This window comes from Homo sapiens, chromosome 21, assembly GCF_000001405.40.
Source record: "Homo sapiens chromosome 21, GRCh38.p14 Primary Assembly".
Taxonomy (NCBI): domain Eukaryota; kingdom Metazoa; phylum Chordata; class Mammalia; order Primates; family Hominidae; genus Homo; species Homo sapiens.
The window spans coordinates 32,573,655-32,587,738 of record NC_000021.9 but is presented as its reverse complement, the minus strand read 5'-3'; the positions used below and the strand labels follow the sequence as shown (position 1 = coordinate 32,587,738).

General features: G+C 49.4%; 2 protein-coding genes across 4 annotated transcripts in view, besides 2 other annotated features; both read left to right on the top strand.

The window, feature by feature from the left end:
• Positions 1-14,084, top strand: part of CFAP298-TCP10L (CFAP298-TCP10L readthrough) — a 48,886-nt gene that overhangs the window by 24,639 nt on the left and 10,163 nt on the right. Inside the window, exons 6-9 of one of the 3 annotated variants that reach the window (NR_146639.2) lie at positions 5,324-5,539; positions 8,908-9,045; positions 10,816-13,163; positions 13,615-13,643. Coding sequence is in view for 1 of the 3 variants with exons in the window: in NM_001350338.2 (NP_001337267.1) it covers positions 5,324-5,539; positions 8,908-9,045; positions 10,816-10,965 (504 nt within the window). In the remaining 2 variants the exon portion in view is untranslated. Of the gene's footprint in view, positions 1-5,323; positions 5,540-8,907; positions 9,046-10,815; positions 14,019-14,084 lie in introns of those variants that run through there. The other 2 variants (NR_146638.2, NM_001350338.2) reach the window with 2 other exon arrangements.
• Positions 2,178-2,377: a silencer, noted in NCBI's record as "fragment chr21:33957672-33957871 (GRCh37/hg19 assembly coordinates)". NCBI's record gives its function as "represses an EF-1alpha promoter that drives an FKBP-Casp9 reporter gene in an ReSE screen in K562 erythroleukemia cells {active_cell/tissue: K562}" and the evidence as "EXISTENCE:reporter gene assay evidence [ECO:0000049][PMID:32094911]".
• TCP10L (t-complex 10 like) lies at positions 2,216-14,018 on the top strand. Its single transcript, NM_144659.7, has 5 exons — positions 2,216-2,318; positions 3,434-3,578; positions 5,324-5,539; positions 8,908-9,045; positions 10,816-14,018. Exons 2-5 carry the CDS (start codon positions 3,435-3,437, stop codon positions 10,963-10,965), a joined length of 648 nt encoding a protein of 215 aa, NP_653260.1. The 5' UTR covers positions 2,216-2,318; position 3,434; the 3' UTR covers positions 10,966-14,018.
• Positions 3,459-3,959: an enhancer, noted in NCBI's record as "H3K4me1 hESC enhancer chr21:33956090-33956590 (GRCh37/hg19 assembly coordinates)". NCBI's record gives its function as "activates a minimal SCP1, AML or CMV promoter by ChIP-STARR-seq in primed H9 embryonic stem cells {active_cell/tissue: H9 hESC(primed)}" and the evidence as "EXISTENCE:reporter gene assay evidence [ECO:0000049][PMID:30033119]".

Genomic DNA, 14,084 nt, shown 5'->3' with positions numbered 1-14,084 from the left:
AGCTCTGGTGGGGTGGGCTCCAATCTCAATGGCATCTCACCAGTTCCCAGGTCATATTGCCCATTTGCAGTGATGATATTTAGAAAAGGTGATTTCTTTTGTCAGGGTCTGTACCACTATAGAAGTAGTCCTTTGAACCAGAAATTTAAACACATAAGCTACTTTAAAAAGTGTATCTGCTGCTACTCCAAGCAGCCAGCTCAGGAACTGGCTTCTGATTTTAAAAGATGAGTGAAAGGTGTGCCGTGGTTTCCTCTACAGAATGTTCAGACCAGAGGGCCCTGGAAGACCATGCCTGAAATGCGGCTAAGGCACCGCGAGGCTGAACAGAAAACCGGGGCCTTATCAGAGAGAAGAGAAGGGCCCCACAGTCCAAACGCCCAGGAGCCTCCGCCCTGACCTGCTGCCGCACGTGGTTGCTGCAGGGTGAGAATCTGGGGAAGACTCAATGAAGAAAATGTCCTGGCCAGGCCGGGAAGAGCAACACACAGAGAGCCGCAGCAGAGACAGGGATGGGGGGACCCTGCCCTGGGAGCCGCCCGGCTGAGGCTCAGGAGGGGAGCTGCAAAGCCTGAAACCTACACAACCTCTCACACACTTCAGGACACACACAACCCCTCACGCACCTCAGGGACTCACACAACCTCTCACACACCTCAGGAAGCTACACAAACTCTCACACACCTCAGAAACCTACACAAACTCTCACACACCCCAGGGACTCACACAACCTCTCACACACCTCAGGACACACACAACCCCTCACATACCTCAGGAACCTACGCAAACTCTCACACACCTCAGGACACACACACAACCTCTCACACACCTCAGGACAAACACCCACTCACACACCCCAGGACCCAAGCACAACCCCTCACACACCTCAGGACACACACACAACCCCTCACACACCTCAGGAACCCATATAAGGAACCCACACACCTCAGGCTCATACACACAAGCCCTCACACACCTCAGGAATCCACACACAACCCCTCACACACCTCAGGGTCTCACACACAATGTTGACACACCTCAGGGTCTCATACACAAACCCTCACACACCTCAGGACCCACACAATTCATCACACTTCTCAGGACACACATAAAACCCCTCACACACCTCAGGGGCCCATACATAACCCCTCACACACCTCAGGACTCACACACAATCCTCTCACACACCTCAGGACTCACACAACCTCTCACACACCTTAGGACCCACACACAACCACTCACACACCTTAGGACCCACACACAACCTCTCACACACCTTAGGACCCACACACAACCACTCACACACCTTAGGACCCACACACAACCTCTCACACACCTCAGGGACCCACACACAACCACTCACACACCTCAGGACCCACACACACCTCATACACCTCAGGGACACACACAACCCCTCACATACCTCAGAAACCTATATAAACTCTCACACACTTCAGGACAAACATACAACCTCTCACGCACCTCAGGACACACACACACACACTCGCACACCTCAGGACACACACACACACTCTCACAGTTAGAATGACACATGGGGACAAAAGTGCCTTCTGTTTCCTCTTTGTAGTATTCTCTTCATTCATTCATGACGTCGGCATTTACTGCCTATTGCATGCGAATCGCTTGCAGAACTATCCAAGTGACACACGTCCCAAGCAGGCTCAGGTGAGCCCCAGGTGTATGTTGTCCACACGCAGCACCATGGATGAGAAGGACAGCCAGGGTTTAACAGGAATATCGACTCTTGCTTGCTCCTCATTCTCTTCTCTATCACAAAAATCACACGGACAATTCAGATGGAGATGCATTTAGTGAAATGATGAAACTTTGAATCCTGTCTCCTATTTAAACTCACATATATTATTTTCCCTTCATAAAAATGTTTTTTCTAGTAAATAATTTGATATCCGAAGAAAGTTTGTATTTCTCCAAGAATGTATGCTCAGAGAAATGAGCTCTTACTACACGTTGCGTATTGAAGACTGGATATAAAACACATGGTTTTTGTCAATTTGGAGGAGTAGTTTGACTCTCTCCAATGTCCTTTGTGGATGGATGGACTCCACTGACGATGAGCTTCTATATTAAGAATTGCAGGTTTGGGGATGTTTAATTATTATCTGAGCTGGTACAGTGGTGACGCTGAGTGAGACGTTCATGTCCCTTTAAGACAGAAAGTCCGTTGGAACTGTCCGCTGCTCTCTGGTCTCTGGATATGAGGCAGGAGGGCTTGGGGACAACTGTGGGGACATGGCCCAGATGATCTGATCCTGGCAGTAGTGACTGTTGGGGACCAGGTGAGGTGACGAGGTCTGGTGGTGGGGCTGAAGGAAAGGGTCTTCCCTGGACTGAGGGGGTCATGAGTTTGGGGCCGAGGACACTGGGGTGTCCCCTCAGAGGAGCAGGAAAGAAGGAGCTTTCTCAGGGCTGTGAGGACCGTGACCCCAGCCCACTTCCGCAGAAACATTCCCAGTCTCCGCGGGGAAGGAATGGCAGTGATCTGGTTACTGGTAGGTCTTGCTCTAGACCTTCGATTCGCTTCCATCAGGAGACTCTCTTTTAAATAGCATTTCTCCGATCACTGTGGTTAAACTGTTCCTTCTCACACAGTTAGAAGTTTATGAATTAAACAGTCGGGGTTTCGTTGGGGGCCACTGGCTTCCTAAAACGGACAGGGCAAGGCAGGGGTGGAGGCAGCTTTCAGAGACGACCCTGCAGGCTTGCAGGAAAGCTTTGCGTTTTTCTCTTTCGTTTTTGTTCTCTAATTGCTGTGAACTTCCTAGAACTGGCATAAATGCTGTACCTATAAAAAGGTGTTTCCTTTCCACATCTTCACCATGAATTCACAAATGTCACCCTGATGGTTCAAGACACATACTCAACACGGTGGAGGGTCTGCCTGTGCCCCTCCAGGTGGGTGCTGATTAAAGGGCTGAGAATTCCCTCGGTGTCTCATGCGACCCTCCACTCACACCTGCTCACACCCTGAGACCATTCCACTCACACCTGCTCATACCCCAAGACCATCGTGCTCACATCCGCTCACATCCATTCACATTCCGCTCATATCCTGCTCACAACCCACTCACATCCCACTCACACCGGCTCACACCCCACTCACACCCCTCTTTGGATGACTGGAGTGTGTTAGGTGTCAGGCTGATCTTCTAGGATCTAAAGCATTTTCCACGGAGGATGGTGGAGAGCCAGGTGTGGACAGCTCAGTCCCTCTGTCTGTGGTGTCCTTTCACCTGGTCAGCTTCGGGCCTGGGAATGTGCACATGACCCAGGGGGAGAAGGAGCGGCTGCGGGTCCTGCTCACCCTTAGTTTGGGGCTGGGGCCTTCAGCCCACACTGACGGGGTAGGAGGGCTGCATTCAAGTGTCCCCATAGCCCTTCCCTTCCCAACCAGGATGCTGGCAGGTCAACTCGAGGCCAGGGACCCCAAAGAGGGCACCCACCCAGAGGACCCGTGCCCAGGAGCTGGGGCTGTCATGGAGAAGACAGCTGTGGCAGCCGAGGTTCTCACGGAGGACTGCAACACTGGGGAGATGCCAGTGAGTTGAGCTCTGTGGGGACAGAGTTAGTCCCACCAGGCGGGACCCTGATTCCTGTCCCTGAGGCCCGTCATTGGACTTTCCCTTGCTGGACCCCTGTAGGAATGCACCACCCCGGGACACTGATTCTGTACTTCCTCTCCAAGGGGCATGTGGCTCTTTCCCCCTCTGCAACCGTATCTCTTGGTGGATGGGAGGCAGGGCAGGGAGTTAAAGAAAATATTAACATTCCAGCTTTTCTCCTCTAATCCAGGAGAAGGCACCAGACTTTAAAAACTTCATTAAAGAAAATCAGAAAGTTGACATGCCTCACATCATCCCAGCAAGTTTCCTGATTTTTACCATCTTCCTCATTGGACCCTGTTGGACAGTGCTTGCTGTCATTAAAGTCCCACGGGTCCCTGTGGCCAGGGCCACCCAGTGCAGGACTGTACCTTTATCACGATCCCACTTATTCTCAGAGCAAGGCTGGAGGCTCTACGATCCAGTGAAGGATCCCAGGGGAAGGCTAACATGTTAGGTTGAAAATGCAGTGGCTTCCATAATTTTTTTTTTTTTTTTTTTTTTTTTTTGAGACGGAGTCTCGCTCTGTCGCCCAGGCTGGAGTGCAGTGGCGGGATCTCGGCTCACTGCAAGCTCCGCCTCCCGGGTTCACGCCATTCTCCTGCCTCAGCCTCCCACGTAGCTGGGACTACAGGCGCCCGCCACTACGCCCGGCTAATTTTTTGTATTTTTAGTAGAGACGGGGTTTCACCGTGTTAGCCGGGATGGTCTCGATCTCCTGACCTCGTGATCCGCCCGCCTCGGCCTCCCAAAGTGCTGGGATTACAGGCGTGAGCCACCGCGCCCGGCCGGCTTCCATAATTTTTAAACTATTGACCATATATCCATGCCAGTACAGCCTTTGAGACCAGTCTGGCCAACATGGTAAAACCCTGTCTCTACTAACAATAGAAAAATTAGCCAGGTGTGGTGGCATGTGCCTGTAATCCCAACTACTCTGGATGCTGAGGCACCAGAGTTGCTTGAATCTGGGAAGTGGAGGTTGCAGTGAGCTGAGACTGCGCCACTGCACTCCAGCCTGGGTGACAGAGAAAGACACTGTCTCAAAAAAAAAAAAAAAAAAAAAAAAAAAAGGAAAAGAATGCCAGCCTCTTTTTGCTGTAGTAGTGTTTTAACAAAAAAATCATAATTCACTAACCATCTTTATCTGGTTATATTATGTGGACTAACTCATAATAAACACTACTTAATAAGAATAAAGCTATGGCCAGGCATGGTAGCTTATTCCTGTAATCCCAGCACTTTGGGAGGCCGAGGCAGGTGGATTGCTTGAGCCCAGGAGTTTGAGACCAGTCTGGGCAACATGGTGAACCCCCATCCCGAGTAAAAATACAAAAATTAGCGAAGTATGGTGGCACATGCCTGTAGTCCCAGCTATTTGGGAGGTCGAGACAGGAGGATCGCTTGAGCTCATCAAGTTGAAGCTTCAGTGAGCTGAGATCATGCCACTGCACTCCAGCCTGAGTGACTGAGTGAGACCCTGAAAAAAGAAAAGAAAAGAAAGAAAGAAAGGAAAGAAAGAAGAAAGAAAAAGGCTGTGGTAGTCCTGTTTATCTCATCGGGTGTCTTTTATTCCAGAAATAGTGTTGGTCTTACATCAGAGAGGGCTTGAGTATTTTGCAGATAAATGTGCCCATTGTGACATCTGAGAGGTTTTTCTGGTGTTCTCTTCCCAATAACAGCCATTACAGCAGCAGATCATCAGACTCCACCAAGAGCTTGGGAGACAGAAGTCTCTGTGGGCTGATGTTCATGGAAAACTCCGGAGTCATATAGATGCTTTGAGGGAGCAGAACATGGAGCTCCGAGAAAAGCTGAGAGCTCTGCAGCTGCAGCGGTGGAAAGCCAGGAAGAAATCTGCAGCGTCCCCACACGCGGGGCAAGAATCGCACACTCTGGTACCAAAAGCGCATTTATGTTTTTGTACCGTTTGCGTTATGTAAAAATAGCGTCCCCATAAAGATGTGGGCTTTATTGCTGAATGACGCGGTATCACTCACGCTCCGGGTGGTGGGAGGGGTTGCTATCTTTCCATCAACTCCATTTCCCGTAAGTAATGATTAATAAGAACTGGATACATCAGGCCTCTCACCTGGCACTCCAGCAGACAGAAGCATTGCCGCCCCCAGGCCGTGTGTCTCAAGTCCAGAATTCTAAGACATCTCATGATGTCTCAGGACAACAGCAGCAAACCCTTACTGTGGACTTTACATGGGCTAGGTACGGAGCTTTACGGTCTTACTCTCTATGACGACCCTATGAAATGGATCCTATTACTAACCCCATCGTGGCCACGGGCTGGAGAACGTAGAGCTGGGATTTGAACCCAGGGTGACTCCAGAGCCAGCTCAGTAGCCTGGTGTCCTTCTGTTCATCCTCTAGGACAGCTGTGTAGAATGCAATAGAGACCTGTTGAAACGGGAAAAGTTCCCTTGTCCCCCTCGCAGGGTGTGCGATGGGGGTGTGGCTCGCTTCTTTGGTTCCCCACTGCTCAAACCTCTAGGGGAGTGTACAGACCGGCAGGCTATGGGGCTCTGACCCCACGGCAGTGTCTGGGGGTGAATGTTTCCAGCTGAAGCCCCAGAGGGTGTGTGTTACAGTGCGGGAGCTCTTTCAGTTTACCCCTCCGTAGGCAGCTTGTGTTTATCAGCTCAATTAGACCCTCTGCCTTATCACAAGGACAGAGGGCTTTCTGTATCCTGGGTTCTTGCCTTGGTGTACCTGAAAAATCAGATCACACATGGGCTTGGAGGATGGGTGCAAGGTTTTTTATTGAGTGGTGATACCTGTCAGCAGATGGGGGAGCCAGAAGGGAGATGGAGTGGGAAGGCAGTTTTCCCCTTGGGAGTTGGGCTGCCCAGTGACCGGGCTCTCCCCTGACCACCCCAAGCAAACTCCGTGTCATTCCGCCAGTCGATGGCCTGCTGGCGTCTGCTGTGTCTGCTGGTGTGCTCTTCTGCCGGTGTGTTCTTCTCGACATCCAGCCGCTTGGTCTCTGCCCGCTAGGGTCTTGGGGTTTTTATAGGCATAGGATGGGAGTGTGGCAGGCCACGGTGGTCTTGGGAAATGCAACATTTGGGCACAAAAGCAGAAATGCGTAGGTCCATGGGCACAGGCCCAGGGGTCGAGCCCTAGCCAGGGACCCCGTTCTTCTCCACCCAGGACTTTCCTGCCCCCATCCTGTATCACTAACCTGCTCTATCCCGAACGAAGAACCAGCATTCTCATGCTGAAGTAGTGGGTGCCTCCCAGCACCAGCCTGCCTCTACAGAACACTGAGCTTTCACGTTTGATCACACCGCTCAAAGAACCAGCCTAAGAGAGTGTGAATGTGGCCAGTGTTATCACTGCCTTGTCTGGGTTCTGTTTCCTGCATATGGATCTAAATAACTTGAATCATTAAAATTATACATACAGGTAACAACACATGAAACCACATGAACACCCTCCAAACGTAAGTGGGGATATTTCTTAGTGGATTAAGAAAAGTACTAACATTTCCTAGCTGCATTTATTGTGTGAACTTTTAAATCGGTACTTCCAGGACTTAGAATATTTCCGATACAGCACAGTGATTACAACACACACACACACACACACACACACACACACACACACACAGGCACCCACCGAATACATTCCAGAGGAGACTGCTCTGTGGTTTGTTCTCCAAGCACAGCAAAAACAGCCACAGCTGGGCGCGGTGGCTCACACCTGTAATCCCAGCACTTTGGGAGGCCGAGGCAGGTGGATCGTGAGGTCAGGAGATTGAGACCATCCTGGCTAACACGGTGAAACCCCGTCTCTACTAAAAATACAAAAACATTAGCCAGGTGTGGTGGCGGGTGCCTATAGTCCCAGCTACTCGGGAGGCTGAGGCTGGAGAATGGCCTGAATCAGGGAGGTGGAGCTTGCAGTGAGCCGAGATCGCGCCACTGCACTCCAGCCTGGGGGACAGAGCAAGACTCCGTCTGAAAAAAACAAAACAAACAAACAAAAAAAACTGCCACAAGTTCCTCTACAAGAAATTACGGGAAATCTTGGAAGTTATTCCCACTCTTCGGGAGCTCTGCGAGAGCTTTGTTTCCATGGAGATGGCTTCTGCTGCCTCAGAAAGAAAGTGAGTTTAGCCTCTCAGCACAGCAAAGCGCCGAGTCCTTCTGCGGAAGGAAGAGCAGAAGCTGGGCAGGCTGTTCCTCTGTCAGAGGAAGAGTGGGGGAAATTGCCACAAATACTGGCCGGGATTGTCCACCTTCTGTGGGGAGAACCCAAGAAGACTCACAGGGATTTTTTTCCCTACATATATTGTATGCCAGTTCCTAAAAAATAGTATCTACTGCCCCATTTGGGTCATTGTATAACAATTACCCTAAGAGTCAATGAAGTCTTATTCAGTCTTCACATGCCCTGCAGTTTTGATCATTCTCTTATTTTGAGATTAGAGCTTGGTGAATTTCCAAATATTTTTCCATTCTGTGCATTGCACTGGTCACCGTGGGGCTATTTATAAGAACAGGATGTACGCTCACAAGAGCATACCTGATTTGAAGAAACAGGATGGGATATGTGAATCCCACACTTTAAATATGCGAAGGTGTATCTGTGTGTAGTCGCCGTTTTAGGGACTGAATATCTAAAAGGCTGAGACTCGAGCACCCACAGAACGCGGGCATGGCTGTGTGGGTGAGCCACTCTGGATCTGATATTAAGGGTTCGTTCATAGCAACCCTCTCCCCTTCTCATTCCCTTCTCCTCCTCAGAGGGCAGAACGGTGAATAATTTAGCATTCCAGACCTAATATACCTCATCCCACCTGAAGGATCACCCTGTTCCAGGTCAGTCTGCTGATAACAGGGAAAGTTGGGAATTTGCATTTTGGATCTTAGACAAGTTGTAGAGACAACACTAGAAGTAGTATCACATTTTCTTCCTCCGTTAACACACTCCCGGTTGAAGACACAGGAGCCTAAAGGAAGATATGTTGGGGATTGTTTGTTCTGTAGCCTTTGGGATCCTGTGATCATTTTGAAACAAGGAACCACAATAAGAAACACAAAGCAAACATCGGCTCCACAAAGGTTCCTTCACAAACGCTTGGTGAGGGTTTCTGTTCTTATCAACATATTAGGGGGAAAACCCAGTCCAAGTCCCCCTACCTTGTACCCTATTTTTTTCTAGGACATTCCAATTATTCTTCATTGTATTAAAATTTGAATTTATTTTACCTTCGAAAATGTGAAGAATTTCCCTGCATTTTGTCTTTTAGGCATTGGAACCTGCTTTTGGAAAAATTTCACCTCTGTCAGCTGATGAAGAGACAATACCCAAATACGCTGGCCACAAGAATCAGAGTGCCACTCTCCTGGGACAAAGATCGTCATCTAACAATTCAGCTCCTCCAAAGGTGACCCTTTGTGCTTATCATCTGTAAAGAGAAGCAGAGGTTCTGTACCCAAACACACACATCCCATCAGCTCCTCACCACACAATTTCACCTCCCTGGGTGAGCATGGTGCTCCCTGGAGTCCTGTGTTCTTCCAAGGACACGGGTACATGCCTTTCAAACAAGATCCTAACCCTTAGCACTTCTTGCTGTGGAGCAGATTCCAAGTCCTCCCGGCTGCTTCCCTCTGAGTACACTCACAGCAGCAAGCGTCTGGCTGGGGCCGAGGGGACTTGGGGGCTTTGTTTCCGTGGGTGCAGGCTGCGGAGGTGATGTGTGTGGCACTGTCTCCACCCGTGAGTCTGAGGGCTCGCAGCCTCCCGTGCTCCCTGCTTCTGCACTGCGGTCTTGCACCTGCTGCTTGTCGGCGTGGACTCCTCTGAACAGGGGTGGCGCTGTTAGCTTGGGAGCCACAGTACAGGATGCTATTTTGTCTCTTGTTGGGAATAGGCCCCCAGATCTGGCCATAAACTGGCCCCAAAACTGGCCACAAACAAAATCTCTGCAGCACTGTGACATGTTCGTGATGGCCATGATGCCCACGCTGAAGGTTGTGGGTTTACCAGAATGATGGCAAGGAACACCTGGCCCACCCAGGGTGGAAAACCGCTTAAAGGCGTTCTTAAACCACAAACAGTAGCATGAGCGATCTGTGCCTTAAGGACATGTTTCTGCTGTGGATATCTAGCCAGAGCCCATCCCTTTGTTTTGGCCCATCCCTTTGTTTCCCATAAGGAATACTTTTAGTTAATCTATAATCTATAGAAACAATTTATCACTGGCTTGCTGTCAATAAATATGTGGGTAAATCTCTGTTCACGGCTCTCAGCTCTGAAGGCTGTGAGTGCCCTGATTTCCCACTCCACATGCTATACTTCCGTGCGTATGTCTTTAATTCCTCTAGCACTGCTGGGTTAGGGTCTTCCTGACCGAGCTGGTCTCGGCAGTCTCTATCACATTTTTCTTTGTTAAAATTAGCTCCTCTTTAGAACATTCTCCCAGCCAGTGTGTCTCTTCCTGTCCCAGCTTTGTGTCACCCTCATACTCAGGAAGCAAATCTCGTGAGTCCACAGCCAGCAACTGATACTGGGTTGATGTGGATGGAGAAGGCGCCCCCAACTCCTGAAGATGATTTATCCCCTCGCATTCTTTCCCAAAGCAACTGCTGAGCAGATAACACTTTATTCCCTGAAGGAAGATCAGAAATCTACTCCAAGCATTTGTCACAAGTAGGAAAAGAGCCTTTTCAGATCCTATGAGTACAAAACATCGTAAGTCCCAGGGTGGACTGCACAGGCCCAGCCTCCTGTGAGACGCGGACTTCTCTCATGCTCCATCATTGACCTGAGTTAATCACAGGCATGCGGGGCAATGTACGAGTAAATAGATAACTGAATGGGTGGCTTATCCACGCCTTGAAACCATCAATTGTTAAATAGTGCAAAATGTAGAAAATTATTTTTATTATGCATTTTTGAATTGAGTTTCAAGCACTTTATTTCACTGTTGACTTTACAATATCAGCCATGTATTGGAATCCCAAATTTCACAAGAGCGTGGGCTGTAAAATGGGGAATGAGAGACACTAAGTGTGGATACCTCATGTGTCCTTCTGTAGGAAGGGGGAGTAGAATCATCTACATTCTGTGATAGCTGGTATGATGTGTTGCTTAACATTTAAAAATAATATAATTGTTACTAATGCAAAAATATTCCCACATTTGTTTTCAGCCAATGAGTTTAAAGATAGAAAGAATTAGCTCGTGGAAAACACCACCACAGGAAAATAGAGATAAAAATCTTTCCAGGAGACGTCAAGACAGAAGAGCAACACCTACTGGAAGGCCAACTCCCTGTGCAGAGAGACGGGGGGGTGTCTGAAGATGGAAAGGTGGCCTCGGACACCTGTGTCACTCTACACTGGCCCCTTGGAAAATTCAGATTCAGATAAAGTTCCACTTAGGTCTAATAAAAGTACTCAATTTGTTATTCAAAATAGACCTAGTAATTTATTAAACTAATTATGTTTCTATAGATAAAAACTTGAAGTTCTTCAGACATGTCTCTAATGCTATAAAAGCAAACAACTTGGATTGGGTTTTATAAATCAGTTGCTTTCCTGAGCTCTGTAGTTGGTATATTTCTGCAGAGTCTTTAAAAAAATTAACCCACCTTGTAGTATGGAGTGTCGGGCTGTTGGGTGAGCCCTGGGGTCTTGCTGGAAATCGAGGATGGCTGAAGATGGCTTTGTGCTCCCAGCCTTTGGGCTCAAGGCATTGCCCGCTCCAGGGACCTTGTGACAAGGCGGGCCTGTGACTGTCATTGCCCCAGGCTATGCATCCATCTTCCCGAAGTCTGCAAAACTTGAGTGGCAGAAAATCACCAGTGCAGGCTTCCCAGGCCGCCATGCTGCAGGAGCAGATGGCAGCAGCCGGAGGAGCTGGTGAGCAGAGTTGGGGACTCCTGTTTCTATGCTCCCCGTGAAATGCGGGGCTTTCTCGTGGATACGCGTGAGCAGAACATCTTACTATGGCAAGGACATGTCCTTCCTGGAGCTGCCTAATTTGTGGCCACTTTTTGTCTGATTCCCTCGTTGGGTCCTCACCTGTGAGACTTGCCAACACCCCCAGCCCTCCACCCCACACACAGCCCACATGCCGGTCTCCAGGGGCCGTGACTGGAGATTCCGAATCCTAGCGGTCACTTCCCTCTGAGCACACTCCCAGCAGAAGGCGTGTGGCTGGGGCTAGATGCACTTGGGTGCTTTGTTCCCCTTTCTCCATTTGCCAGCCCATGGCATTGCTGCCACCCTGATGGAGCGCCCTCTCATCTGGCACCTTCCTGGCCTCTTTCCCAGGCCCCAGTTCTGTCCATGCAGCTGTGGGTGCTTCCTGCATTGCGGGTCTCACGGGGAGGAGACGAGAGTGCCCCTGGTTGAGTCAGGAAAGAATTCTATCTTCACGTCGCTGCCAGCAAATGACCACAGCAGCTTCACGACCTCTGCAGGAACCTATCTTGGTAAAGAAACGGGGCCTATGTGGTGGCCGAGCCTCAGGTGTGGCCGAGCTTCAGGTGTGGCCCTTATGCACAGCACAGCCCAAGCCTGTGGGCACCACTCGCCCTGGGCTGCCTGGCACCTGGACTCCTTCCCATCCTTGGCCGAGGTCTGCGTGGCCCTTCAGGGCCGAATCTGACACTGTCTTCCTCCTGAGTCTGCCCCCCGGGCTTCCTGCCCACCCCCAGGCTGTTTCATGGCCTCTGCAGGGAGCTTCGTAGAGGTGAGGCTGGTGCCATCTGTCTGCTTCAGACCACCTCAGGCTCTGCGTGCCCTCACAGTCCCCTCTGCACTTCTCTGTGGGGCAGGGAAGCCCTTCCCATCAGGTCTGCTCCAGCCTGGCTACCTTGTTCCTGCTGTCCCCTCCCCTTCAGGCCCCCGGACAAGACTTCAGTGTACTTGCTGGTGCCGGGCAGAATGGGGGACCTTGCCTCTCACACACACCTGCTAGTATCTCCGCAACCTCCAGGCATCATCTCAGCTGACAGTGACGCCATCCTGGGGAAGCTCCCCTGACTCCTGGCTCTCCTGGAAGCCTGTGGTGCTCCTTCACAATGGCCCGTGGCCCTTCATAGGTCCCGTAAGCCAGTGTCACAGGGATTCGGCTTTTCTCTTCTGTGTTTGCCTGCTGCGGGACTGTGAGCAGCTTCAGGGCCAAGACAGTGCCTTTCCATCCGTGAATCTCCTGATCCATCAGAATACTCGAAAGAGAAATACCGACTGAGTGTATTCATTAAAGAATTAATGTTCCTTACAGGATCATTTGTTGTTGAACTGACCTGACATGTGTATAGTAATCTCATGAACAAGAAAGAATGTGTTCACACGTTTGCTTAAATTGAATTTAGCAATCGCATTAGGATACTGATATTTCCACAATGTATATACACTATCCTTTTAAATTTAACTTATTTGCTTTTTAGACGGAAGCTCCTCAGTCTTAGAGAGTTCTGAAGGTGGATTTCTCAGCCACGTTCAACCTGATGAGTTCACTGCTTCTTCCCCAAACATTGCAGAGCTGCAGGTAGGTGGGCTGAGTGGCTTCTGCAAGGGTGGCCCGCCAGGTTCCCCTGAGGGAGACCTGAGAAGCTCACCTTTTCATCCTGGGGAAGTGAGATTCGGAGTGGGTGTCAAGAGATGGTTGCATCTTCTTGACAAGAACAGAAAATTAAGATGATTCCAAATGTCTCTTTATTTCCTGAGGTTCAGCCTTTCAAACAGAGACTTTCTTTTATAGATTTAAGTTGGTTGCATTTAGCACATAGTCAAACAGGATTAATATTTTTCATGGCTTAAGAGTTTCCCAAGTCAAAGTTTCATTTTTTATCATTTTGATTTACAGTTCTCAATTGACATTAATAGACTCGAAGGCACGAATAGCAAACATATTTCTAAGCCCTAGCTAGTGGTCCACTTGTAACATGCTATATTTTACAAAAAATGTCAATAAAATGAAATTATTTTCTCTACGGCAGGAAATTTGGGCTGTGAACTTACGTGTGATGTAAGTAGGCACCTGGCGGGGAAGTCTGGGAACACAGGTCCCGCTTGTTTTCTGTTCTCCCGAGAAAAACCCACATTCTGTTCTGCCCTTTTCAACATCTTCAGTGGGGGGACGAGTGGGAACATTTTTCTTGGGATTTTATTTTGTTTGGGGATCCAGCTAATGGGTTTGCCTGGAAGCCTCAGGGCTAATGATCTGCATTTAGAAACAGTGCCACAGTCATGGCAGGTGTTATTTGTATGTTATTTGTATGTCTCTGTGTGTTATTTGTATCAGGTGTTGAATGTGGCGGTTGTCACTGTGGCCACCCTGACCCCAGAGCAAACATATAAGTGGGAGATAACCACTTTAATAAAACACAAAACATGGTCCAAATTCCTGGTGCTGACTGTCCGGGGCTCAGCCGTGCCCACCGACTTAGAGGCAGAGGCTGCAAAATGC

What these genes read in the sequence shown, in the direction of transcription:
- TCP10L (NM_144659.7), top strand. Translation starts at nt 3,435, where the DNA reads ATGCTGGCAGGTCAACTCGAGGCCAGGGACCCCAAAGAGGGCACCCAC. An exon ending in GGCAAGAATCGCACACTCTG is followed by an intron (nt 5,540 to 8,907) that starts GTACCAAAAGCG and finishes TTTGTCTTTTAG; the next exon opens with GCATTGGAACCTGCTTTTGG. An exon ending in ACAATTCAGCTCCTCCAAAG is followed by an intron (nt 9,046 to 10,815) that starts GTGACCCTTTGT and finishes ATTTGTTTTCAG; the next exon opens with CCAATGAGTTTAAAGATAGA.